Source organism: Homo sapiens, chromosome 12, assembly GCF_000001405.40.
Source record: "Homo sapiens chromosome 12, GRCh38.p14 Primary Assembly".
NCBI classification, from domain to species: Eukaryota; Metazoa; Chordata; class Mammalia; order Primates; family Hominidae; genus Homo; species Homo sapiens.
The window spans coordinates 70,365,895-70,391,117 of record NC_000012.12 but is presented as its reverse complement, the minus strand read 5'-3'; the positions used below and the strand labels follow the sequence as shown (position 1 = coordinate 70,391,117).

General features: G+C 39.7%; 1 protein-coding gene across 3 annotated transcripts in view, besides 2 other annotated features; it reads right to left on the bottom strand.

Annotated features, from left to right (window-relative positions):
* KCNMB4 (potassium calcium-activated channel subfamily M regulatory beta subunit 4) overlaps positions 1-24,828 on the bottom strand; it is a 68,003-nt gene extending 43,175 nt beyond the window's left edge. For all 3 annotated transcript variants that reach the window (NM_014505.6, XM_047428701.1, XM_011538188.3), the window contains exon 1: positions 24,048-24,828. In NM_014505.6, the coding sequence (NP_055320.4) occupies positions 24,048-24,383 (336 nt within the window). In that variant the 5' untranslated portion in view covers positions 24,384-24,828. The remainder of the gene's footprint in view (positions 1-24,047) is intronic.
* Positions 21,073-21,273: a silencer, noted in NCBI's record as "peak1805 fragment used in MPRA reporter construct". NCBI's record gives its function as "represses an SCP1 promoter by STARR-seq MPRAs in K562 erythroleukemia cells {active_cell/tissue: K562}" and the evidence as "EXISTENCE:reporter gene assay evidence [ECO:0000049][PMID:32103011]".
* Positions 24,773-25,012: a silencer, noted in NCBI's record as "silent region_4656". NCBI's record gives its function as "represses an Ori minimal core promoter by ATAC-STARR-seq in GM12878 lymphoblastoid cells {active_cell/tissue: GM12878}" and the evidence as "EXISTENCE:reporter gene assay evidence [ECO:0000049][PMID:35858748]".

The following is a 25,223-nucleotide window of genomic DNA, read 5'->3' as shown; positions in this document are numbered from 1 at the left end:
ACTGTGATGTAAGGTAGGACTCCTCAGCCAATCCCAGGCCCAAAGCTCCTTAGAGGAAGGGTGAGGGGGCTGGTTTATACTTAAAGCCCTTGTGGTAGAACCTCAAGTCCTACCTACTGAAAATCTAGCCTTTCCCAGCAGAACATGCCGACATGTAGCAGAGTAGTATAGAGCAGAAAGGGCAGATATTCAGAATAGTATTGAACACTGGCTCTACGCTAATGCTAATCCCTGGGGACTCTAAGTACACCTGTGCTTAGAATGAGAGCTCATGGGGGTCAGGGGAAAATGAAGTTTTGGTCCAAGTTAGTGTCACAATAGGCCCAGGGAGTCCATGAACTCTCTTCACGATTGTTCCTACAGATCCTGAAAGTATAGCGTCTTCACATTTTGGAGGAAACATATACTGACATTTGGGATTGCTTCTCTGATCAATATACTGAGTAACCCAGAACCTGCCAGCTTTCAGTAGCAATCAGAGCAGGAAAACCTGCTCAAGGCTACAGAGCAGGAAGCTGTCTCAATTCATCTCTATGGCTCAGTGGCTTCAATAACAAACAAGAGTCTATGACAGATCAGCGGATATATGGAGCCCAGAGAGAGCCCTGATGGTATAAAGCAAACCCATGCTTTCTTTGGCAAGTGACTATTCTCCTTTTGAGAAACAAGTGGTTTGTTACTGGGTCCCAGTAGGGTCTGAATGCCTGAACATGCAACATCAATTTACCATTTTACCCACTGTATGCTGGGCTATTTTGACTCACTAAAACATAAAGTTGGGATTTACAGGGCTGAAGCAGGACTTGTTGGCAAATAAATTTCAGAAGCAAATGGCTCACACTCCCAAGGCACCTTCTCTTTTTATACCACCACCTGCCCCATCTTGTGCTAAAATGCAGTTGTTAATCTGGGTTGGTTTTCCTCATACTGGGATATACAGACCCCAAGGAATACTCTGCAGTGTGCCAGGAGGTTCTTAAAGCCTATGATCAGTTTTGATGGATGAGCAAATTTGAGCTCATTGAGCATAACTCTGGGCAGAACATCTGATTGTTTATTTCTCTTGAAAGAAATGATGGAGGTACAGTCCTACAATATTTTATGGACACTGGTTAACAAATAGTAAACTTGTTTCAAGTAACATGATTAGAGTGTGTTAAATCCTCAGAAATAGAACTCTGATCTATACATGGGCCTACAAATTCTATTTCCCATTCACCCATTCTCGGAAAGCTATTTGAGGATGTACTCCAACAAAACAAAGAAATAAATTAAGAAAGAGGAAGGCATGGGATCAAGGAAACAAGGTACTCAACACAAGAAAGATGCAGCAGGCCTAAGGTGCATCCAGTTCAGTATGAGAAGTAGGCAGATGGGGCCCAGCAAGGGTGTCCCACGAAATTTTTATTTGATCTTATTTTTTTGACACAGGGTCTCACTCTGTCACCCAGGCTAAAGTGCAGTGGTGTGATCTTGGCTCACTGCAGCCTCAACCTCCCAGGCTCAAGTGATCCTTCTGCCTTAGCCCCCCAAGTAGCTGGGACTACAGGCACATGCTACCATGCCCAGCTAATTTTTGTATTTTTTGTAGAGACAGATTCTCAATATGTTGCCCAGGCTGGTCCCAAACTCCTGGGCTCAAGGGATCTGCCTGCCTCAGCCTCCCAAAGTGCTGGGATCCCAGGCGTGAGCCACCATGCCTGGCTAAGAAATTTTTAAAAAGAATGAGAGAAATGTGGAACTAAATGACTACCTATTGAGAATGGTCATATGACAAACAGTATACAAATGGGTTTTACAATTCTGCAGGAGAATTTTGGAAAAATAAGAGAAAGGTACACAGGAAAGGTACAGGAAAGTAAGAAAATAAAAAAGGGAGATGATTCTTACCTCAAGGAAAATAAGTTATAGAAGTGAACAGTACTTTACATAGTTAAAGTAAGTTGAGCACTCAATATTAATTTATCCAAAAATTATGATAGAATCATATTTATTTAAAGAATAAAGAGAGGAAAATGGGGTAGGATGGTGTGGTGCAAGAAAGCTAAGTCCATATAATCCATCATAGGTGGTCAACAGTATCTCAACTGCATACATCAGAAAACCTATTGTTTAGAAACACAGAGGTAAAAACCAGAAAAAAAAAAAAGCCCTAAAAATAGTTAAAACCAGTTATCTCTGGGTGGCACAAGGGTTTGGAGCAGTGGAGTACTACTCCTTACCCTCAAATAAAAGTACAGTGCAATTTGATTTTCAAAACTATGTTCATAATAACAAGAGCAAACATTCACTGAAGGCTTACCATATGCAAGGAACTATCCTAGGAGCTTTCCATATATTAACTCATTACTCCTCATAACCCAAGGAGACAGGCTCTATTATAATTCTCATTTTACAGGTGAGGGAACTGAGGCACATCTGAAGTCACACTGCTATTCTAATTAAAAATTAATAATCAAGACATACAAATGGCAAACAGGCATATGAAAAGGTACTCAATATCACTGATCATCAGAGAAATGCAAATCAAAACTACAATGAGATATCATCTCACCCCAGTTAAAATGGCTTTTATTCAAAAGACAGACAATAACAAATGCTGGCAAGGATGTAGAGAAAAGGGAATCCTTGTACACTCTTGGTGGGAGTGTAAATTAGTACAACCACTAGGGAGAACAGTTTGGAGAACAGTTTTGAGTAACTAAACTGGAGAACAATGTAGTTACTCAAAAAACTAAAAATTTAGCTACCATCCGATTCAGCAATCCCACTGCTGGGTATATACCCAAAAGAAAAGAAATCAGTATATCAAAGAAACGTCTGCACTCCTGTATTTGTTGCAGCACTGTTTTCAATAGGTAAGATTTGGAAGTGACCTAAGTGTCCATCAACAGATGAATGGATAAAGAAAATGGGGTACATATATACAATAGAGTACTATTGAGCTATAAAAAAGAATGAGATCCCATCATTTGCAACATCATGGACGGAACTGGAGATCATTAAGTTAAGTGAAATAAGCAAGGCATAGAAAGACAATGGTTACATGTTCTCACTTATTTGAGAGATCTAAAAATCAAAACAATTGAACTCATGGATAGAGAGTAGAAGGATGGTTACCAGAAGCTAGGAAGGGTAGTGGAGGGCTGTGGGGGAGGTGGGGATGGTTAATGAGTACAAAAAATAAAAATAAAAAGAATGAATAAGACCTATTATTTGATAGCACAGTAGGGTGACTCTAGTCAATAACAACTTAATTGTACATTTTAAAATAACTTAAAGAGTATAACTGGATTGTTTGTAACTCAAAGGATAAATGCTTGAGGGGATAGATTCCCCATTCTCCATGATGTGCTTATGTCACTTTGCATGCCTGCATCAAAACTCATCTCATGTACCTCTTAAATATATATACCTACTATGTATCCACAAAAATTAAAACAATTAAAAAAAAACAACACTCCAGGCATGGTGGCTGACTTGAGGTCAGGAGTTTGACACCAGCCTTACCAACATGGTAAAACCCCGTCTGTACTAAAAATACAAAATTGGCTGGGCATGGTGGTGCACGCCTGTAATCCCAGCTACTTGGGAGGCTGAGGCAGGAGAATTGCTTGAAACTGGTAGAAGGAGGTTGCAGTGAGCCAAGACTGTACCACCACACTCTAGCCTGGGCAACAAGAGCAAAACTCCATCTCACAAAAAAAAAAAAAAAAAAATTAAAAAATTTAAAAAAGACGAATCAGTGAGTCACAAATGAAGAAATAAAATGGCCCACAAATATGTGATGAAATGTTCAAACAAACTAGATACCAAAGGTGCTGGCAAAATTAAACTGCTAAAAATGAAAATCACAGCCAATATCCCGTGCAGACAAGTATCTGCAAAAAATAGGCTCTTTCACACACAGCTGTCGGAATGATACATTTTTATTACTTATTTAGTATAATTTGGAAATATATGATAAAAGCTTAAGAAAGCAATAAGCTTTGTTTCCCTTCAAAAAAAAAACAACAAAAATAAAGCATAATAGACACACAACGTAAAAATGCAAACAGTGGGAAAGGTTACAAAATGAAATGTCTCCCTCTGACTGACCCTTACCCCAGGCAGTTATGCTTAACAGTCATTGTGCATTCTTCCAGATATTCTCTATACTCTATCTTAACAAGAATGTGAGCACACTCTTCTGTTTATTGCTTTGTTCTTTCACTAACCAAAATATCTTAGTGCTCTCATGTGTACAGATAGAGGTCTCATTCTTTTGAATGCTCACTGCATAGCTGTGTCAAAATTTATCAGTTGGTCCTCTAATGAAAAACATTATAGAAGTTTCTAGTCTTTTGCAATTACAAACAAAAGAGCAACAAACTTCCTTGTACCAGCATCTATGCACACATGTGTGAGAACAGGAATAAAAGCTGGCATGTATTTTCAAAAACTGTAATTATGGTATTCCAAAGAACCTGCATGAGAGTTCATGAAAGCACCTTTCCCCATCTCCTTAAAAAAAAAAAAAACAACAAACAAACAAACAAAAAGGCTACAATTAAACTTTTCTGATGGTGAAACATGGAGCTTCTTATTTTAATTTACATTTTTAAATGAACATTTCTTTTCTGCAAACTGACCATCCATGATCTTTGCCTATCTTGGTCATTTTCTCATTGATGTTTAAAAGTCTTCATATAGTTAAAAAAAAATTGTCTCACAATCCCAGTTTCCCTCCTGATTTTTCTTGTCTTTATTTGTGGTACATTTACTACATAAAAAAATTAATTTTTATGAAATCAATCTGTGAAAATTTATATAATTAGACCCACTTTGAAGACAGACCCATTATCTATAAAAACATATATTGTAATCTCTGAAACAAGATCTCCACTATCACAATGCCTCAGACTTACAAGATGAGGTATGTGACTGTCTGAAAAAGGTTTTTAGAAAATAGAGATAAGCAAAAATAAAATTTAGAAACCTCTGATACCGTCATCACTGAGATTACTAATTTCATTTTGGATTTTAAGTAAATATTCTTGAAGAGAAGCTGTCCTGTAACTTTCATCTGTATATATATGTTATTATAGGTTTTTGTTTCAATGTAATCATAAATATATGAAAAGAATTTGGAAGTTTTCCTTATTTCTGTTTCTCTGGCATAGTTCAAAGTAGGATTAAAGTTACCTGTTTTCACAGAGTTGACCTGGAAACATTTACAGTTGTAGTTCGTTGACAGCTTTCTCCATTTCCTCTATGGTAATTGGTCTATTTTTTAGAAATCTCTATAGATTGTTTTATTTGGGAAGTTTATATTATCCTAAGAATCATTATCTCATCCTATGAGTTCAAATTTATTGGCATAGAATTGATCGAAGTATTCACTTGAAGTTCATTTAACTTTTCCTGTATTTGTGGTTGTTTCCTCATTTTTGTTTCTAATTTTGTATTTTTGAAGAACATTTCTTTGGCAATTAAACTTGCTGAGGATTCATAACTGAATTTATCTTTCCAAAAATAAAGACAATTCTGCACTCGTTGAAGATGCTCAGCATATCTTCAATGGGAATTTTGAAGCCCTGAAAAATTTCAAGGCTATAAAGTTGTGCTATTAATTTTCTATCCAACTCTTATGCAAAATCAAATAAATGTTCATTAAAAACATTGAAGGGAAAGGTGTTTGACATTAACCGAAGAAAATATTCAGTACATCACAGGGACATGGGAGATAAAGCTAGATGAAAGAAAGCTCAACAGATTGAGGAGGTAGATGCTCTCAAATCCAAGAGTAAATGCACCCCACCACAACACTGTGTGATGTCCTCCAGAGACTGTGCCAGAAAGAAAGCTCCAACCCAGGAGGGGTTTTGTGAATCAGACAGCATTCACAGCAGTTAGGATAGGGCCTGTAACATGGCAGATACCCAATAAACATTTGTTGAACTAACAATTCTGAAGTTTGTGACAAAGTCCCTAAACTCTGTCCTCATCTGTGAAATTCCCCCCGCTTGACACCTCAGTAACTACAAATACAAATACCAAGATGTATTTATTCCAGAAGTATTTATCAATAATATCTGCTTGGAACATTATATATATCATCTATAGTCCTCAGCTTGTAAAGGTTTCTTGATCAAGAGGTTAAGTGACTGACCTATAGATGTTCACCTTTAAATAGGGAGCATCTAGATTCAGGCACATGGGCCTTTTCTTTCTTTTTCTTCTTTTTTTTTTTTTTTTTTTTTTTGAGACAGGGTCTCACTGTGTTGCTCAGGCTGGAGTACAGCGACATAGTCATAGCTCACTGTAACCTTAAACTCCTGGGCTCAAGCGATCCTACCGTCTTGCTAGAACTACAGGTGTGTACCACCATGCCTGGCTAATTAAAAAAAAATTGTTTTAGAAACAGAGTTTCACTATGTTGTCTAGGCTGGCCTCAAACTCCTCTCCTCAAATTATCTTTTCACCTTGACTTCTGAAAGTGTTGGGATTACAGGCATGAGCCACTACACTTAGACTGGCGTTTTCCATTATACCAGGTAGCTTCTCAAATGTCTATGTGCCCAGCTCTGTCCTAGACTCTGTTAGTGAATCCCGAGGTGTTTCCCCAACGGGGACTGTGAGAGGCCTTTTCAGTCATTCATTATCGTGGTGACAAGTTGGGATGGGAGAGGGGTATTTAAGTAAAACAGCATGGTTTTGTAAGAAGGTAGTTTTATCTTAATACATCGATCCTCTCCATTGTAATATTTAGTCTCTTGTGTTTCACAGAGCATTTATTTTAAAGTAACAGTTCTCAGTTTTCTCTCACAAAAATAAGCCTTCTTTATTGGAGAAATTTAGAAGCTACAGGTGGTCAAAAATCGTATTTATGGTGTGCATTTTTTCCATTTTGTCATTTATCTTTGATCTTTGTATATAGTCTTTTTTCATATAAAAATGTTCAATTTACATGAACACAATAGGGTCTTGCAGATGGAATTAGTTAAGATGAGGTCACAGTGGATTAGAGTAGGCCCTAAATTCAATGACTGGTGTTTTTTGTTTGTTTTGAGATGGAATCTTGCTCTGTCACTCAGGCTGGAATGCAGTGGCACGGTCTCGGCTCACTGCAACTTCTGCCCCCTGGGTTCAAGTGATTTTCCTGCCTCAGCCTCCTGAGTAGCTGGGGTTATAGGTGCACATCATCAAGCCCAGCTAATTTTTATGTTTTTAGGAGAGACAGGGTTTCACCATGTTGGCCAGGCTGGTCTCAAACTCCTGGCCTCAAGTGATCCACCCAACTTGGCCTCCCAAAGTGCTGGGATTACAGGCGTAAGCCACCGCACCTGGCTGTACTGGTGTTTTTATAAGAGAAAGAAGAAAGGGATACGGAGACACATACAGAGGGAAAAAGGCCATGTGAAGACAGAGGCAGCAACTGGAGTGATGCAACTGCAGGCCAAGGAATGCAAGGATTGCAGGAAACAACCATTGCTAGGAAGAGGCAAGGAAGGGTGTTTTTCTAGAGCCTTCAGGGGAGCATGGACCTGTTTGATTTTGGACTTACAGACTTCAGAACTGTGGACAAATAAATCTCTGTTGAGTTAAGCAACCTCGTTTGTAGTACTTTGTTATGGCAGCCCTAAGACCCTAAGACATGTATTTTTCAGGATTTTGATATGTATTTCCAAGTTGACATGCAATTGCTCCTGCAACATGTTGCCACCAGCAGTGCACAAGACTGCCCACATCCCCATATTGCCACCAATTTAATATGTACCAACTTGATAGGCAGAAAAGGTATCTCAACATTGCATTAATTAATATTTCTTTTTTCCCCTTAGCTTTACTGAAATATACTTGACAAATAAAAATTGCACATATTTAAGGTATATAACGTGATGTTTTGATATATGTGTACGTTGTGAAATAACTGCCACAATCTAATTAGCACGTCCATCACCTTACATAGTTATGATCTGATTAGTACAGTCCTGTGCTGAATAATGACATTTCAGTCAATGATGAACTGCATTTATGACTGTGGTCTCATGAGATTATAATACTGTATTTTTACTGTACCTTTTCTATGTTTAAATACACAAAAACTTACCATTCTGCTACAACTGCCTATAGTATTCAGTACACTCATAGTACAGGTTTGTAGCCTAGGAGCAATAGGCTATATCATATAGCCTGGGTGTGTAGTAGGCTATACTATCTAGGTTTGTGTAAGTACACTCTATGATGTTCACAGGACAAAATCACCTTAAACAATGAACGACTGTATTTCTTTGATTTTTAGTGAGATACCACATATTTTTCATGTTTTTATTTGTAATTCTTTACTGAACTGCCTACGCATGTTCATGCCTAGTATTTTACTGAAGAGATGGTCTTTTATTGCTAAGAGTACTTCATATGTTGACTTTTTAATCATTTCCCCACCATGTTGCAAACATTTGTCCAAATTTATCATTTTTCCTTCAATTTTAATGTTCAAAAAAATGTGTAAGTTTTCCCTTATTATATCATTAATCAGTGTATTCCTTTATGATTTCTGTCCTTGCTACATGTTTAGAAAAGCTTTGCCCACCCCATATATACAATATTAATGTATAAAATATATATTTACCCAAATTTTATTTAGTACTTTCATAATTTATTTTTGTACCTTTAAATTTTTTTTTTTTTTTTTTTTTTTTTGAGACGGAGTCTCGTTCTGTCGCCCAGGCGGGAGTGCTGTGGCGCGATCTCCGCTCACTGCAAGCTCCGCCTTCCGGGTTCACGCCATTCTCCTGCCTCAGCCTCCAGAGTAGCTGGGACTACAGGCGCCCGCCACTGCGCCCGGCTAATTTTTTGTATTTTTAGTAGAGACAGGGTTTCACCGTGGTCTCGATCTCCTGACCTCGTGATCCGCCCGCCTCGGCCTCCCAAAGTGCTGGGATTACAGGCGTGAGCCACCGCGCCCGGCCACCTTTAAAATTTTATTCCATCAAAACTAAAATTTTAATTTTAATTAGATGTATATTTCTAAGTAAATATTTTCCAAATAACATTTTGATGATTCCTAGTATTTTCCAAACAAGTTTTTAAATTTAGAAAATTAGTTTTTTAAAATTTATTTCCAAAAAATAATAGGCAGTTTTAACACCACTTGCTGAATAATACATTGCTTTACAAGTTATTTGAAATGCTGAAATTTGCAAAGCAATCATTCATTATTATTTTTTGGGCAAGAGATTTATTGAAATATAATTCACATACCATCCAATTTACCCATTAAAAGTGTACAATTTAATGGTTTTTAGTAGATTGCACAGAGGTGTGCAACAATCATCACAATCAATTTTAGAATGTTTTCATTACACCAAAAAGACCCCTGTACCCTTTAGCTGTCATTCCCAATCTTCCCATGCCTTCTAGCTTTAGGCAACCACTAATCTACTTTCAGTCTCTATAGATTTCCTTCCTTATTCTGGACATTTCCTGTAAATGGACTCATATAACGTGTGTTTTTTTGTGGCTGGCTTCCTATACTTACCATATTTTTGAAGTTCATCCATATTGTATTAACACTTCATTCTTTTTACAGCCAAGTAATTTTCCATTGTATGAATTAGCATATTTCATTTATCCATTCATCAGTTGATGGATGTTTGGTTTGTTTCCACCTTTTAGCTATTATGAATAATGCTGCTATGAAGAGTCATGTACAAAGTTTCTGCATGGACATGTTTTCGTTTCTCTTGGATATATAATTAGGAAAAAGTTGCTTGGTCACATGGCAACTGTTTAGCGTTTTGAGGAACTGTCAAACTGTTTTCCAAAGTGGCTGTTATCTTTTTCATTCTTACATTCTTGTATGAAGATTCCAATTTATTTTGACAACACTTGTTATTGTCTTTTTTACAGCCATTCTAATGGATCTGAAGTGGTATTTCATTGGGGTTTTGATTTTCATTTCCCTCATGACTAAAAATGTCAAACATTTTTTCATGTGCTCATTGGCCATTTGGATACCTTCTTTGGAAAAAAAAAAACTATTCACATCCTTTGCCCACTTTTAAATTGGATTATTTGTCTTGTTGTGTTGTAAGCATTCTTCATTATTTTCTTGGTACTAGACACTTATCAGATACATTATTTGCAAATATTTTCTTTCTGTTACACTTGTCTTTTCATTTTATTGATGGTGTCCTTTGAAGCACAAATGTTTTTAATTTTAATTAAGTCCAACATATCTATTTGTCCTTTAGTTGCTTGTGCTTTTAGTATCATATTCAAGCATTAAAGTTTTAGCACTTATATTTAGGTCTCCCATCCATTATTTTAATGTGCAATCAGAGTTCAACTTCATTCCTTGGCATGTGGATATTCAGCTGTTCAAGCACCACTGATTGAAAAGACTGTTCTTTCCCTATTGAATGCTCTTGACACTCTTGTCAAAAATCAACCGTCCATGATGTATAGGTTTTTTTTTTTTTTTGGACTCTCAGTTCTATTCCATAGGTTGGTAGGTCCATCCTTATTCAGTATCACACAGTCCTGAGTACTGTAGCTTTGTTGTACAGGCACACTTCGTTTTATTGCTTGCTTTATTGTGTTTTGCAGATATTGCATTCTTTTACAGATGGAAGGTTTGTGGCAACCCTGAGAACAAGTCCATTGGCACCATTTTTTCCAACAGCATGCACTTACTTCATGTCTCTGTGCCACATTTTGGTAATTTTCACAGTATTTCAAACTTTTCATGATTATTATATCTGTTATGGTGATCTGTGATCAGTAATCTTTGATGTTACTATTATAATTGCTTTGGGGATGCCACAAACCATGCCCATATGAGGACAAAGTTAATCAATGAATGTGTGAGTGTTCTAAGTGCTCCACCAACCACCTGTTCCCCTGTCTCTCTACCTCTTCTGGGGCCTCTCTATTCCTGAAACAAAACAATATTGAAATTAGGCCAATTAATACCTCTACAACAGCCTCTAAGTGTTCAAGTGAAAGGAAGAGTCATTGTCTCTCACTCTAAATTAAAAACTAGAAATGACTAAGCTTAATGAGGAGAGCACATCAAAAGCTGAGACAGGCTGAAAGGTAGGCCTCTTCTGCCAAACAGCCAAGTTGTGAATGCAGAGGAAAAGCTTCTGCAAAAAAATTCAAAGTGCTACTCTAGTGAACACACGAATGATAAGAAAGTGAAACAGCCTTATTGCTGATATGGAGAAAGGTTTAGTGGTCTGGATAGAGGATCAAACCAGCCACAACATTTCTTTAAGCCAAAGCCTAATCCAGAGCAATGCTCTACCCTCTTTAATTTTATGAAGGCTGCCAGAAGTGAGGAAGCTACAGAAGCTAACAGAGGTTCATTCATGAGGTTTAAGAAAAGAAGCCATCTTCATAACATAAAAGTGCAAAATGGGCTGGGCATGGTGGCTCATGCCTGTAATCCCAGCATTCTGAAGGGAGAAGAAGGCAGATCACTTGAGCAAATTCAAGACCAGCCTGGGAAACATGGCCAAACCCCATCTCTACAAAAAATACAAACATTAGCCAGGTGTGGTAGAGTGCACCTGTAGTCCTAGCTACTTGGGAGGCTGAGGTGGGAGGATGGCTTGAGCTTGGGGTGGAGGTTGTAGTGAGCAGAGATCACACCACTGCACTCCAGCCTGGGTGACAGCCAGACCTTGTCTCAAAAAGAAAAAAAAAGTGCAAAGTGAAGCAGCAAGTGCTCATGTAGAAGCTGCAAGTTATCTAGAAGATCTAGCTTAGATAATTTATAAAGGTGGCTACACTAAACAACAGATTTTCACCATGGATGAAACAGCCCTCTATTGGAAGAAGATCTAGGACTTTCATAGCTATAAAGTCCAGGCTTCAAAGTTTCAAAGAACAGGCTGACTCTTGTTAGAGGCTAGTGTAGCTGGTGACTTTAAGCTGAAGCCAGTGCTCATTTACCATTTCAAAGATCCTACGGCCCTTAAAAATTGTGCTAAGTCTACTCTGCCTGTGCTTTAGAAATGGAACAAGAAAGCCTGGATGATAGCACATCAGTTTACAGCATGGTTTACTGAATATTTAAAGCCCACTGTTGAGACCTACTGTTCAGAAAAAAAGATTCCTTTCAAAATACTACTGCTAACTGACAGTGTACCTCATCACCCAAGAGCTCTGATGGAGATGTATGAGGAGATTAATGTTGTTTTCATGCCTGCTAACATGACATCCATACTGCAGCCCATGGATCAGGGAGTAAGTTCGACTTTCATGTCTTATTATTTAAAAAATACACTTTGGGCTGGGTGTGGTGGCTTACACCTGTAATCCCAGCATTTTGGGAGGCCGAGATGGGTGAATCACTTGAGGTCAGGAGTTCAAGACCAGCCTGATCAACATGGTGAAGCCTTGTCTCTACTAAAAATACAAAAATTAGCCGGGCATGGTGGCGTGCAACTGTAGTCCCAGCTACTCAGGAAGCTGAGGCAGGAGAATCACTTGAACCCAGGAGGCAGAGGGTGAAGCGAGCCAAGACCACACCATTGTACTCGAGCCTGGGTGGCACAGCGAGACTCCATCTCAAAAAGTAAATAAATAAAATAAAAAATAAAAAATACACTTCATAAAGCTGTAGCTATAGTGATTCCTCTGATGGATCTGGGCAAAGTAAATGAAAAACTTTCTGGAAGGGATTCAACAATTTGATGCCATTATGAACATTAGTAAATCATGAACGGAGGTTAAAATAACATTATAGGAGTTTGGAAGAAGTTGATTCCAACCCTCATGGATGACTTGTGGTGTTCAAGACATCAATGGAGAAAGTAACTACAGATGTGGTAGAAATAGGAAAGAACTAGAATTAGAAGTAGAGCTTGAAGGCCGGGCGCGGTGGCTCATGCTTGTAATCTTAGCACTTTGGGAGGCCAAGGCAGGCAGATCATTTGAGGTCAGGAGTTTGAGACCAGCCTGACCAACATGATGAAACCCTGTCTCTACTACCAATACAGAAAAAAAAATTAGCTGGGTGTGGTGGTGCATGCCTGTAATCTCAGCTACTCAGGAGGCTGACGCAGGAGAGTCACTTGAACTCGCGAGGTGGAGGCTGCAGTGAGACGAGATTACACCACTGCACTCCAGCCTGGGCAACAGGGCAAGACTCCATCTCAAAAAAAAAAAAAAAGAAGTAGAGCTTGAAGAGATTCTACTAGAATTAGAAGTATAGCTTGAATTTCTGGAATCCCATGATAAAATTTGAACAAGTGAGGATTTGCAAATCCTCATTTGGATGAGCAAAGAAAGTGGTTTCTTGAGATGGACTCCACTTCTGGTGAAAATGCTGTGAACACTGTTGAAATGACAAATGACAACAATTAACCTAGATATTACCTAAACTGAGTTGATAAAGCAGTGGAGGGATTTGAGAGGACTGACTCCAATTTTGAAAGGAGTTCTACTGTAAGTAAAATGCTATTAAATAGCATCACATGCAACAGAGAAACATTTTGTGGAAGAGTCAATTGATGCAGGAAACTTCGTTGTCTTAGCTTAAGTAATTTCCACAGCCACCTCAACCTTCAGCAACCACCACCCTGATTAGTCAGCAACCATCAACATCGAGGCATGATCCTCCACCCGCAAAATGATTATGACTTTCTAAATGCTCAGATCATTACTAGCATTTTTCAGTAATAAAATATTTTTAAATTAAGGTATGTACATTTTTAAGACATAATGGTACTGCACATTAATATAGTATAAATGTAATTTTTATATGTACTGGGAAACTAAAAAATTTGTGTGACTCTTTTATCGTAATATTGGCTTTGTTGAAGTGGTCTGGAACCAAATCTGCAATATTTCCAGTGTATCTCAGGAAATGTGAATCTTTCCATTTTGTTCTCTTTTTTCAAGATGGTTTTGTTTATTATGGTTCTCTTGCATTTCCGTGTGAATTTTAGAATCAGCTCGTCAATTTATGCAAAAAGAAAAAAATAACTAATCCAGCTGGGGTTTTGCTAGAGACTGTAATGAATCTGTAGATCAACCTGAGGAATACTGCCATCTTAACAATATTGGGTCTTCCTATCCAGGAACAAAGGATGTCTTTCCATTTATCTAAGTCTTCTGTAATTTTTCTCAGCAGTGCTTTGTAGTCTTCAGGTTATAGGTCTTGTACTTTTGTTAAATTTATAAAATTTATTCCAAGACATTTTATTTTTATGTTATTATAAAATTACATTCTTTTTTCTTTTTTTTTTTTTGAGACAAGGTCTCACTCTGTTGCCCAGGCTGGAGTGCAGTGGCATGATCACAGCTCACTGCAGCCTTAATCTCCCAGGATCAAGTGATCCTCCCACTTCAGCCTCCCAAGTTGCTGGGACTACAGGCACGTGCCATGACATCTGGCGTTTTGTTTTTTTTTAATTTTTGTAGAGGTGGGGTTTCACCATGTTGCCTAGGCTGGTCTTAAACTCCCGGGCTAAGCGGTCCTCCTGCTTTGGCCTCCCAAAGTGCTGGGATTACAGGCGTGAGACATCATGCCCAGCCAGAATTGTGTTCTTAATTTCATTTTAGGATTGTTCATTCCTAGTGTATAAAAATATAATTAATTTTTGTATATTGATATTGTATCCTGCAACTTTGCTGAATTCATTTATTAGCTCTAATAAATTTTAGGGGAGGTTCTTTAGGAGTTACTATATATAAGATCATGTGATTTCTGAAAATAGTTTTATTTTTCCTTTCCAATCTGGTTGCCTTTTATTTCTTTTTCTTGCTTAACTGCCCCTGGCTAGAACTGCCACTACAATGTTGAACAAGAGTGGTAAGAGTGGACATCCTCGTCTTCTTCTTGATCTTAGGGGTAAAGCTTTCAATGTTTCATCATTAAGTATGATATTAGCTGAGGCTTTTTCATAGGTGTCCTTTTTCAGGTTGAGAAGTTCCCTTCTATTCCTAATTTGTTGGTTTTTTTTTTTTTTATCATGAAAGGATTGTTAAATTTTGTCAATGTTTTTTTCTCCATATACTGAGATAATTATGCTTTTCTTGTTCTTTATGCTAGTAATCTATTACATTGATTGGTTTTAGCACGTTGAACCAAACTTGCATTCCTGGAATAAATCCCACTTCATCATGGTATATAATCACAAACTCTTCCAAAAAAACAGAAGGGGGAACACTTCCCAGCTCATTCTATTACTATGATACCAAAATCAGACAAAGACATCACAAGAAAAGGACAGACATATATCCTGTATAAATATAAATGCAAAAATCCTCAATAAAATATTAGCAAACAAAATCCAGGAATCTATAAAAAGAATTATATACCATGACCAAGTTGGAGGAATAAGGAGTGAGAGCTAATACGTATAGGACCCCTACACATTGTTGAACCCCAACACGGAACTACTAAATCTGAAACTCAGGTAGAGCTTTTGATTTATTGGGTCGAGGATGGGACCTGAGAATGTGCATTTCTTTTCTTTTTAGAGATGGGGTCTTGCTCTGTTCCCTAGGCTGGATTACAGTGGTATGATCACAACTTACTGCAGCCTTGACCTCCTCAGCTCAAGCAAGGAGCCTTAGCCTCCTGAGTAGCTAGGACTACCAGTGTATGTCATCATGTCTGGCTAATTTTTTTTTTTTTTAATTTTTGTAGAGATGTGGTCTTGGCTATGTTGCCCAGGCTGGTCTTGAACTCCTGGCCTCAAGCAATCCTCCTGCCTCAACCTCCCAGAGTATTGGTATTACAGGTGTGAGCCACCACGCTCAGCCAGAATGTGCATCTCTAACAAGTTCACAGATAATTCTGATGCTGCCCGTCCACTGACCATACTTTGAAAACCACCGGTTTGGAGGAAGAAATAGACTAGCCATAAACTCAATGAACAGATATGGTAATCAAAGCAAAAGACAGCACTAAACAAGAGAGTGGCAGTGAAATTTATAAAAAATATTAATACCAGAGAATGATGATACAATTAACAGAAACAAAAAACTCCAGAATAAAAGTGGGTTTGGGAGAAATAGTGATGAATTTTGTTGCCATTTTTATCCTTGAAACAGAGAAAACAAAAGGTAATTAAAATAAGAATTACAAATTTAGCACTCACTATAGAGTATTATTGTCTGGTTTTCCCTTCTTTAGGTCTATTTTAAAATAAAACTGTTTGGATAAAGACAATCATAAATATATTTATTACAAAGAACAAAATGGACTAAATTTTTACTTTCTAGGATTTAGTTTTCTCCAGTGAAATATAATATCAATATATGCTGCTGCAATATAGTTAGATTAAAACCAGTAAACTGGACATTAGATGAGGTTTCAAAGTCCATTTGATCAACTACATCAATTACATGAAGACAAAGCAAGTCTAGATATTTTTTCACATGTGCTTCAGTATAAAGAGACCATCTAGTAACCTAATCTGTTGGATTACAGTACTCAAGAAAGCACTTACTTAAAATAAATGTATCCTAGTTTATTTATAAAAATGGCCACAGAATTAAATAACTTAATAAACACAATGATTTACAAGTATTATATTGGTTATTTTAAAAGAATAGAAGAGGATATTACAACTCACAAGTACAATTTTTTACACATTAATTTATGTGTTGTAGAGAATACCTAAGGCTCAGCATGAGGAATGGTTGGAAACATATGCAATGTTAAAAACTATTCTGTTCAGTATTTTACTGTGAGTAATTATGGTAATTGTAATATAAATGTACTGCTGATCTAGGAACTAAACTGAATTGAAATTCTGCTAAGGACTGAAAAAAAATTTAAACCCAAAGGAAATAAAACTTGACATCTTCATTCATAAATAAGTGCCCAAAACATTTTAAATAAACAAAATGTGTCAACTTATAAAAAGCTATATAACGAGGCAAGTTTGTGATCAAATAAATGTATTTTGTAAGCAAATTATAACTGATATGTATTGTAATGTCACAAATCTCTTTTGATTTTTAGTTTCTGATTCTTTTTTATGCATAAGTTTTGGGGACCTTACAGATATAATTGAGATCTTCATAAATGACATCCACAAATGGGGGCTGGAGATACATTACGATAATCTCAGACAGATAGATCATAGCATCCTGCAGATTAGATTGCTTTTGTTTTAGAAATGGAGTCTTGCTCTGTCACCCAAGCTAAAGTCCTAAAGCACATACTTAAATTTAGCTCACTGCAGTCTTGTACTCTTAGGCTCAAGTAATCCTCCCTCCTCAGCCTCCAGAGTAGCTGGGACTACAGGTGTGCACCACAATGACCAGCCAATTTCCTTGATATTTTTTTAAGAGATGGGATCTTACTACGTGGTACAGGCCTCAGCCTCCCAAGTAGCTGGGATTATAGGTAAGAGCCACCACACCCAGCCCAAATTAGATTGTTTCTAAAGAGATATTCTGACCACGCCTTTAAATATCTAATCATAAGTCACCTACTCAAAAACCGTCCTTGACTTCTGTATTAGTTTCCTATTGCTGCTGTAACACAAACTTAGTGGCTTAAAATGGCACAAATTTATTATCTTACAATTCTGGAGGTCAGAATCTAGAATGTGTCTCACTGGGCTAAAACCAAGATGCCAGGCTGCGTTCTCTTCTGAATGCCTAGCGGAAAATTCATTTTCTTGCCTTTTACCACTTCCTTGGAGAAGGAGTCTACATGCTTTTTTTGGCGCATGGCCCTCTTCTGTATTCAAAGCTAGCAATGGCTGGTTGGATCTTTCTCAAACTCTATCACTCTGACCTGCCTCTGTCTTCTACTTTTAAGTACCTTGTGATTCCATTGGGATTGTCTGGATAACTCAGGATAATCTCCTTATTTTAACATCAACTGTTTAACAACCTTAACTCCCTCTTTAACTCTAATTTCTCTTTGCTATGTGACATAAGACACTTACAGTTTTTGAGGGTTAGGATGTGGACATCGTGGAAGGGAGACATTATTCCTCCTACCATGGCTTCCCAGTATCTAGCAAACCCATCCTGGCTGCCTGGGTCTTCTACACTGTGGGCTCGAATTTACTCTCCAGCCTTACCCCCAAGACCTCATTCTATGTGCCCTGTGTTCCACACACACCAGTCCATCCAGATCCCCCAACACACCCCACACTCACACAGCTCATAGCTTTGTTTCTTGCATTTTATCTTCTTTGATGTTCTCTTCATTCCACCCTGCCTCCCTTTACTCACCACCAAGATGAAACTCTGTTCATCCTCGGACTTATAGCAAATGCTTCTTTCTCCATGAAGCTTTCCCCCTAACTTTTTCCCTCTGGATGTTCATATCATAATGTTTGTACCTCTCTGTAGAACTTGACATTCTGCCTTGTTTGACAGTTATTTGTGTCCTTATCTCCTCTGCTAGGTAATAATTTCCTTGAGGACAGAGGCTCATGGATTCATCCTCATATTTAATGTCTGTTAGGCATATGCAAAACTGAACCCTTGATTTTCATCCACACTCCTCCAGACCTACTATTCCTTTAGTTTTTCCCATCACTAAAAGCACCTCCGTTCACCCAGTTGCACTTGACACAAACTTTGGAGCCATTCTCAACTCCTCTTTCCCTCATTCCTCATATCCAATTCATTAGTAAATTTTACCAGTGCTACCCACTGATCTAAGCCACCACCATCTTTTGCCTGTCCTACAGGACTTCCTGTTTCAAGTCTTGCCTCTGCACCTCTCACTGCACAAGTCAGAATGTGTGCATGTGCATGTAAACATACATATAAATTCTGTTTTCAACTCAGCAGCGAGAGGGATCATTTGCATTTTTTAAAAGTCTAAGTCTGATGATATTTCAGCCCCGCTTAATGTCACAGATTCCCATCATGCTTGGAATAAAATCCAAAGTCCGTATCGTGTTCTTTAGGACCCTAACCTCATTTCCCACTGTCCACCTTGCTCACTGTGGTCCAACCTCACTTTCGCCCTCATAGTTCCTCACACAGACACTTGTCACAGGGCCTTTGCATGTGCTATTTCCTCAGCTGGTGGACACTCTTGTCTCCAGATAGCCACATGATTCATTACTTACATCCCTTCTGTCTCTGCTCATCCCCTCATGTTCTTTGGGTCTCTGTGTAAATGTCACTTCATCAGAGCGGCCTTCCCTGACCACCCTGTCCAAAAGAAGAGCCCTTCACGTATTTTGTCACTGTCTATACTCTTATCCTGCCCAAATTTTCTTTATCCACCTATCATTACATGACATGGCATTATACATTTATTTCTTGTCTGTTACTTCCCAGCAGAATATAAGTTCCATGAGTGCAGGAACTTTGTTTTGACCTATATTCTAGTCTCAGCACCTGAATGCACACATAGCTCAGGATACGTGTTTCATGAATATTTGTTAAGTGAACATATTCATCTTTGTATGCCCTCTAGTTTCTTGCCCAGTTCTTTGATCATTATAATAGATGCTGAAAAAGGATTTCCTGATTGAATTTTATGTATATACCAAACATTATATAACATCATCTCCAAAGGAAAAACAACCAAGAAATGCCACTTTTTCAAGATAAATAAAGGTTACAAAGAAGTCATCACAATTCTGCTTAGCCTTTTATCATGTAGTTCTGATATGATGGATGTCTCTAGAGCGCAAAATGTATCAAACTGAATGTTCCAGGAAGGAGTTCAGAAACAATTCCAGGCAGGCCACACTGCCTCTCCTACAGTGCACTGGGACAGGGTACATGAGTGGATGTGGAGAGGGCCTAGGTGACTGTGAGCCACCACGCCCTGTAGTTAGGTACATCCAACTTCAGCAAACGTAATGCCTGAAGCCTTATTCAGTCCCACCTAAGTTTTTCTTCTCCTTAATGCATTTCTCTCACTTCTAGAGTACTGGTTTCTTAGAAGGAGCCTTTTATCCTTTGTTTCTAGGTTTTTATTATTAGAGGAAGGGGAAAAAAAAACTCAAAATAAAAATAAACATATAGACCGGGCGTGTTGGCTCACGCCTGTAATCCCAGCACTTTGGGAGGCTGAGGCAGGGGGATCACTTGAGGCCAGGAGTTGGAGACCCGCCTGGCCAACATAGTGAAACCCTGTCTCTACTAAATATACAAAAATTAGCTGGGTGTGGTAGCACATGCCCGTAAGCCCAGCTACTTGGGTGGCTGATGCAGGGGAATTGCTTGAACCCAGGAGGCGGAAGTTGCAGTGAGCTGAGATCATGCCACTGCACTCCAGCCTGGACAACAGAATGAGACTCAAAAATAAATAAATAAATAAATGAAATAACCATATTATCTCTAATCACTCACTCTGTCTTGTCTCACATACAAGAGGGCAGTTTTAAAAACTCACCTTTTTTTTTTTTTGGCCATCCAATGTATATAATTATGCAAATGCAAATGTCTGGAATCAAGTTCATTTCATTTAAACTTATTGGTTTTAAACTATTATTTACATAATAATTTTAAATAATACTCTCCCTTTCCTTCAGAATTTCCTTTTATACCGACTCCCTAAATTCAGTAGCACTGGCCGGGCGCGGTGGCTCATGCCTGTAATCCCAGCCCTTTGGGAGGCCAAGGCAGGGGTGGATCACGAGGTCAGGAGATCGAGACCATCCTGGCTAACATGGTGAAACCTCATCTCACTAAAAATAGAAAAAATTAGCCAGGCGTGGTGGTGGGCGCCTGTAGTCCCAGCTACTCGGGAGGCTGAGGCAGGAGAATGGCATGAACCAGGGAGGCGGAGCTTGCAGTGAGCCGAGATCATGCCAATGCACTCCAGCCTGGGCGACAGAGCGAGACTCTGTCTCAAAAAAAAAACAAAAAAACAAAAAAAAACAAAAAATTCAGTAGCACCAACAATATCTTTTAATCTGAAAACACAAATATTAATCACAATGACTCCTTTTTGGTTCTCAGGTTGTTTTTCTTGCACAGCAGATGAGAACATTTTCTAAGACAGTGGTTTTTGAATCTTGTCTTCACATTAGAATCATCACAGAACTTTTAAAAAACATCAATGCCCAGGCCCCACCCAAGACCAAATCAGAATCTTGGAGAGTTGGACCCAGCCATAAGAACTTCTTTTTAAAGTTCCCCTGGTGATTCTAAGGTACAGCCATAGGTGAGAACCAAAGCTCCTAGCATATACAACTGTGAGTCACCAAGAGATAGTGCAGTGACTGGAATAGTAGCAAGAGGAAGTTGACCCCGAATTTAGATTTTGCTATGGTTAATCCACAGAGATAATCTCCCTGTGGACAATTTGTTGCCTTGAATACTCTATTACAAGACTGGATATAGTGATTGCTTTAGACAATAAGGATATGATTCAAAATACAAATAAATTCAGTAGGAACTCAAGGTATTTTAAAGAAATTATTAGTCAAAGATCAAATTTACTCACAGTATCTTCTTCAGCAGCTTATGGCTTAAGAAATTCTGTATTTGCAATGTATTCTTTCCCTCTCCTGCCTCTTACTGTAATTAATGCAGGAAACTCAAGGGAGAGGAAAAAACTCCTTATTCTATTTTTTCTAAGAAGTGATTTCCTAAGTGGTTTCTTGTGTTGGTGGGTCATGAAGAAAAGCCTGGAGGCGGCTGGGATTCAAGACACTGTTGGGAATCTAGACATTCTACAAAGAAACAGAGGGGAAGCATAGGCCTTCAATAAAGAGGTAAAGTAAGGCAAAGAAAAGATCTAGGCAGCCAAGAGCCAACAGGAATGGACAATGGGTATTGCCTAATTGCAGGGACACTGTGGAAACACTCTGCTTATGTACATGACTCTGGCATAATATTTTTATTACATTGAATTTTTCCATCACACTGCCTATAAGAATTTCCAAATTGAGAATTTATTGGTCAAAAATAGAAAGGTGATGCTAAAGAACAAACTTACAGTCTATAAATGATACAACATAATTATAATCTGGATAAAGAGATATAAATTGGTTTGGCTGAGAAAACCTTGACTAAAATGAATAGGATGTTGTCCATGACTTCTGTAACATAAATATATTCTTCTCCAGTTCTGTCAGTTCCTGAATACTTTACTTTATAAAATGTATTTTGTTCAGGTACTTTTTCAAAACAACTGTTGCCAAGATCTGAACTGGCACTGGAAAAAAAATGATTATTTTCAGGGGAGAGAGAGATAAAGAAAAGAGAGAGGAGAAATTTTAGTATTACATAAAGCATTGGGATTGCTTCTAGGTAATTTAAAAATCAACGTCCCAATGATTTCAATTTACTTTTTCTGCCAGATACTTCAAACTGCCTGAAAATTGTGAAGCAGTCTTTTTGTAATAAATTATAATTTGTCCTTGTCTTGATTAGATATTAGCCATTTATTAATGTGTGTGTGCATATATATGTATATATAGATATGAAATTTATTAGTGCTTGAACCACTATCTTAAAATAATTAGCAACGTTTCACCAACTATAACAACTTCTAAATGATGAACTGCCATATAATTTCTAAATCATTACTACTGGTTGGCACTCATCTTTGACATTATTGATTTAATTCTAAAAAAAAAAATGTTTCTAAAACCCTGAGATTTCTTTTTAAATTCCTGAGCATTAAGAGGATCAAGTTACAACATTTGTCTTTGAGACGTTATCACCTCTTCAAGATCTTTAACATTATACTCCAAATTCTATATTCTTAGTCCTATATTTACTGCTTATGTATTATTGATATTTTTTAAGGTAAATCAATATTCATTTGTCGACAGGAGCATTTTTTTTTTGAGAGGAGTCATTCATATTTTTAAAAAGAAATATTTTCTAAATGTCTCAAATTCAAGAATTTACTGTTCAGGAGGTAAGACCACAAGTTTTATTGCAGAGTGACGGTAAGCTGTTTTAAATACTATTATAATATTAATGTAGAATTTTTTTCTTTTGGATTAATATAAATATATCTTGTTAGAGTTAACAGAAAGTTTTCCTGTGAACACAAGATGCATTCCCTTTTGGACTGTTTTTCTGCTTGATCCCTCAAAAAAAGGAAAAATGTCAGTAACTTTTAAAAAGATACATACCTTTGATAGTTAAGCAACAAGGAGAGCAGAAAAGATCAAGGGAAGTAGAAACGGAACCAGAACCAGGTGCACTACAAAGCTCAATTAGTTCACAGGCTAAGGACACTGCTTTTTATAAGTTATTTTTCTCCATTGGGAACAGTTTTCTGAGACTTCCTCTCTCTGCTCTCCATCCCGGGAGTCCTAACCAGGTTTTATCTTTTTTTTTTTTCTTTTTCTTTTTCTTCTTGCTTGCTTTCGAGACCAATAGAAGTTGTCAGAGAAGTCATATTAGGTACATTTCACTGAAGGTTTTCTATTTTCAGCAAGTTTTACTGTTCTCCAGACGACTCCTGACTGTCCCTAAACACAAAGGGTAACTAGGCTCCCTGTAGACTCTTTTGAGAATCTATTTCATGAAAACTAGGAGCCCTCTGTACTTCCCAAAATGGACCCGCAATATTCCACATTTGATTCCGGGTCGTTTGTCAAGCCACAAAAGCTTATCTTTGAACCCCAAGTTGAAAATGCCTATGTAGAGCGAAAAGGTGAGGAACTCTCTCACAACTTTCGAGAGTCCCCTCGACCTTTCAAGGAAGGTCATTCCATCTGAGTTCTAGATGAGACCAGCTGAAGCTCGGACCTTGACCGTGAGCTGGAGTAGGTGGATCCCCGCTAACCACTGGCTTTAAATGGAGGAAAAGTTAACTTTCTTGGCTCCTTGCACTTCTCCAAACCCAGTCCGGTAGGCGCAGGACCCGGACTGGGTCGAGGCCTCAAAATCTGAGACCAGGCAAGACAGGTTTTAAAGTAAGCCTCTGGGCACCACTGGTCGCCGCGCGTAAACCCACCTGAAAAGACCGGAGCCCTGGGGCTCCCTGATGTAGTCATTCCTGGTTTGAGCACAGCCTGCGCCACCTGGTCTCCTCCTAGCAATGCGAGCACACGCCGAACCCTCCCCGCGCGGAGTCTAACACCGACGCTGCCTCCAAACCTCCCTCGCGGGGAGCCCCTGGGTGCGCGGGGCGTTCTTACCTTGGGGTTGGTCAGGAGCTGGTGCTCGTCGCTGTGCAGCAGCGCCCTAGAGTTGGACTCAGAGTTGTTCACGTAGACCTGGACGCAGGGGTACTGCGAGGTGCCCCTGCAGTCGGCGCCACAGGTGAAGGTGCACTCGAACACCTCGCCGATCTGCTGCACCGACAGCACCGTGCAATTGGCCTCCGTGGCTTGCAGATCCTGCAGCGCGGGACTCAGCCAGCAGAAGCCGAAGATGAAGAGCGACACGACGCCGGAGATGATGAGAAACAAGCCGAGCCGGATGCTCTTGTCCTCGGCTTCCGTGTACTCGTAAGCCACCCGGAGCTTCGCCATCGCCCCCCACTCTCGGCGGCTGGCGTGCTCCCCCCGCCCCCTCCCGCCCCCGGCGCCGAGCCCGACTGCCTCGGGCGGGAGGAGCCGCCGCCGCCACCGCCGCCGCCGCGCGACAGCAGGGGAGTGGGCGGCGAGGGGGAGCGCGCGAGAACAAAGGGGCCGAGGCCAGCGACGCCCCCGGCGGCGGCGGCGGCAGCGCCCCCCAGCCCCCCAGCCGCCGCCTGGGCCCCGCGGTGCAGCAGCCGCTTCAGAGCCTCCTGCACCCTCGGGCGCGGGGAGCGCACGGACCGCTCCAGCTTCCAGCGCCCCCTGCCAGCCTCCGCCCCCGCACTCTCCCCGCCTCCCCCACCCCGCCTCCTCTCGTCGGGTGTCTCTCTGTCTCCATCGCCCGCTGGCCGCTACTCCGCTGACTCGCCCGGCAGCTGCCCCAAGGCTAGGAGTGTCTGAGCTGGGGCGAGCCCGGGGGCTCCCCCGTGCAGGAGGAGGCTCCGCCCCGCCCCGTCCGCAGCAGACCCGGGCCCTTCCGCCCCGCCCCGCTCCGCCCCGCCCCGCCCGGGGGCGTCTCCTTTGGGCGAGGGGCTGACGGGCACAAGCGACAGCGGCGACTTGCAATCGGAATCTTCGCTCACTCCCCTTAGAGGGACGTCCGAGATGAAAGATTAAGATCAATTTAGCTTAACCGGAGGGAAGTTAAAATAATAATAATAATAAGAGGGGAGGGTGGAGTTCAAGTGGAGCGGCGGGAATCTTGAACTCCAAACGAGTACTGGTCACCTGCAGGGAGAGCGGCCAGGCTCCGGGCGCACCCCGGGAAGCGGGCACGGGTGGCGGTGTGGGAGG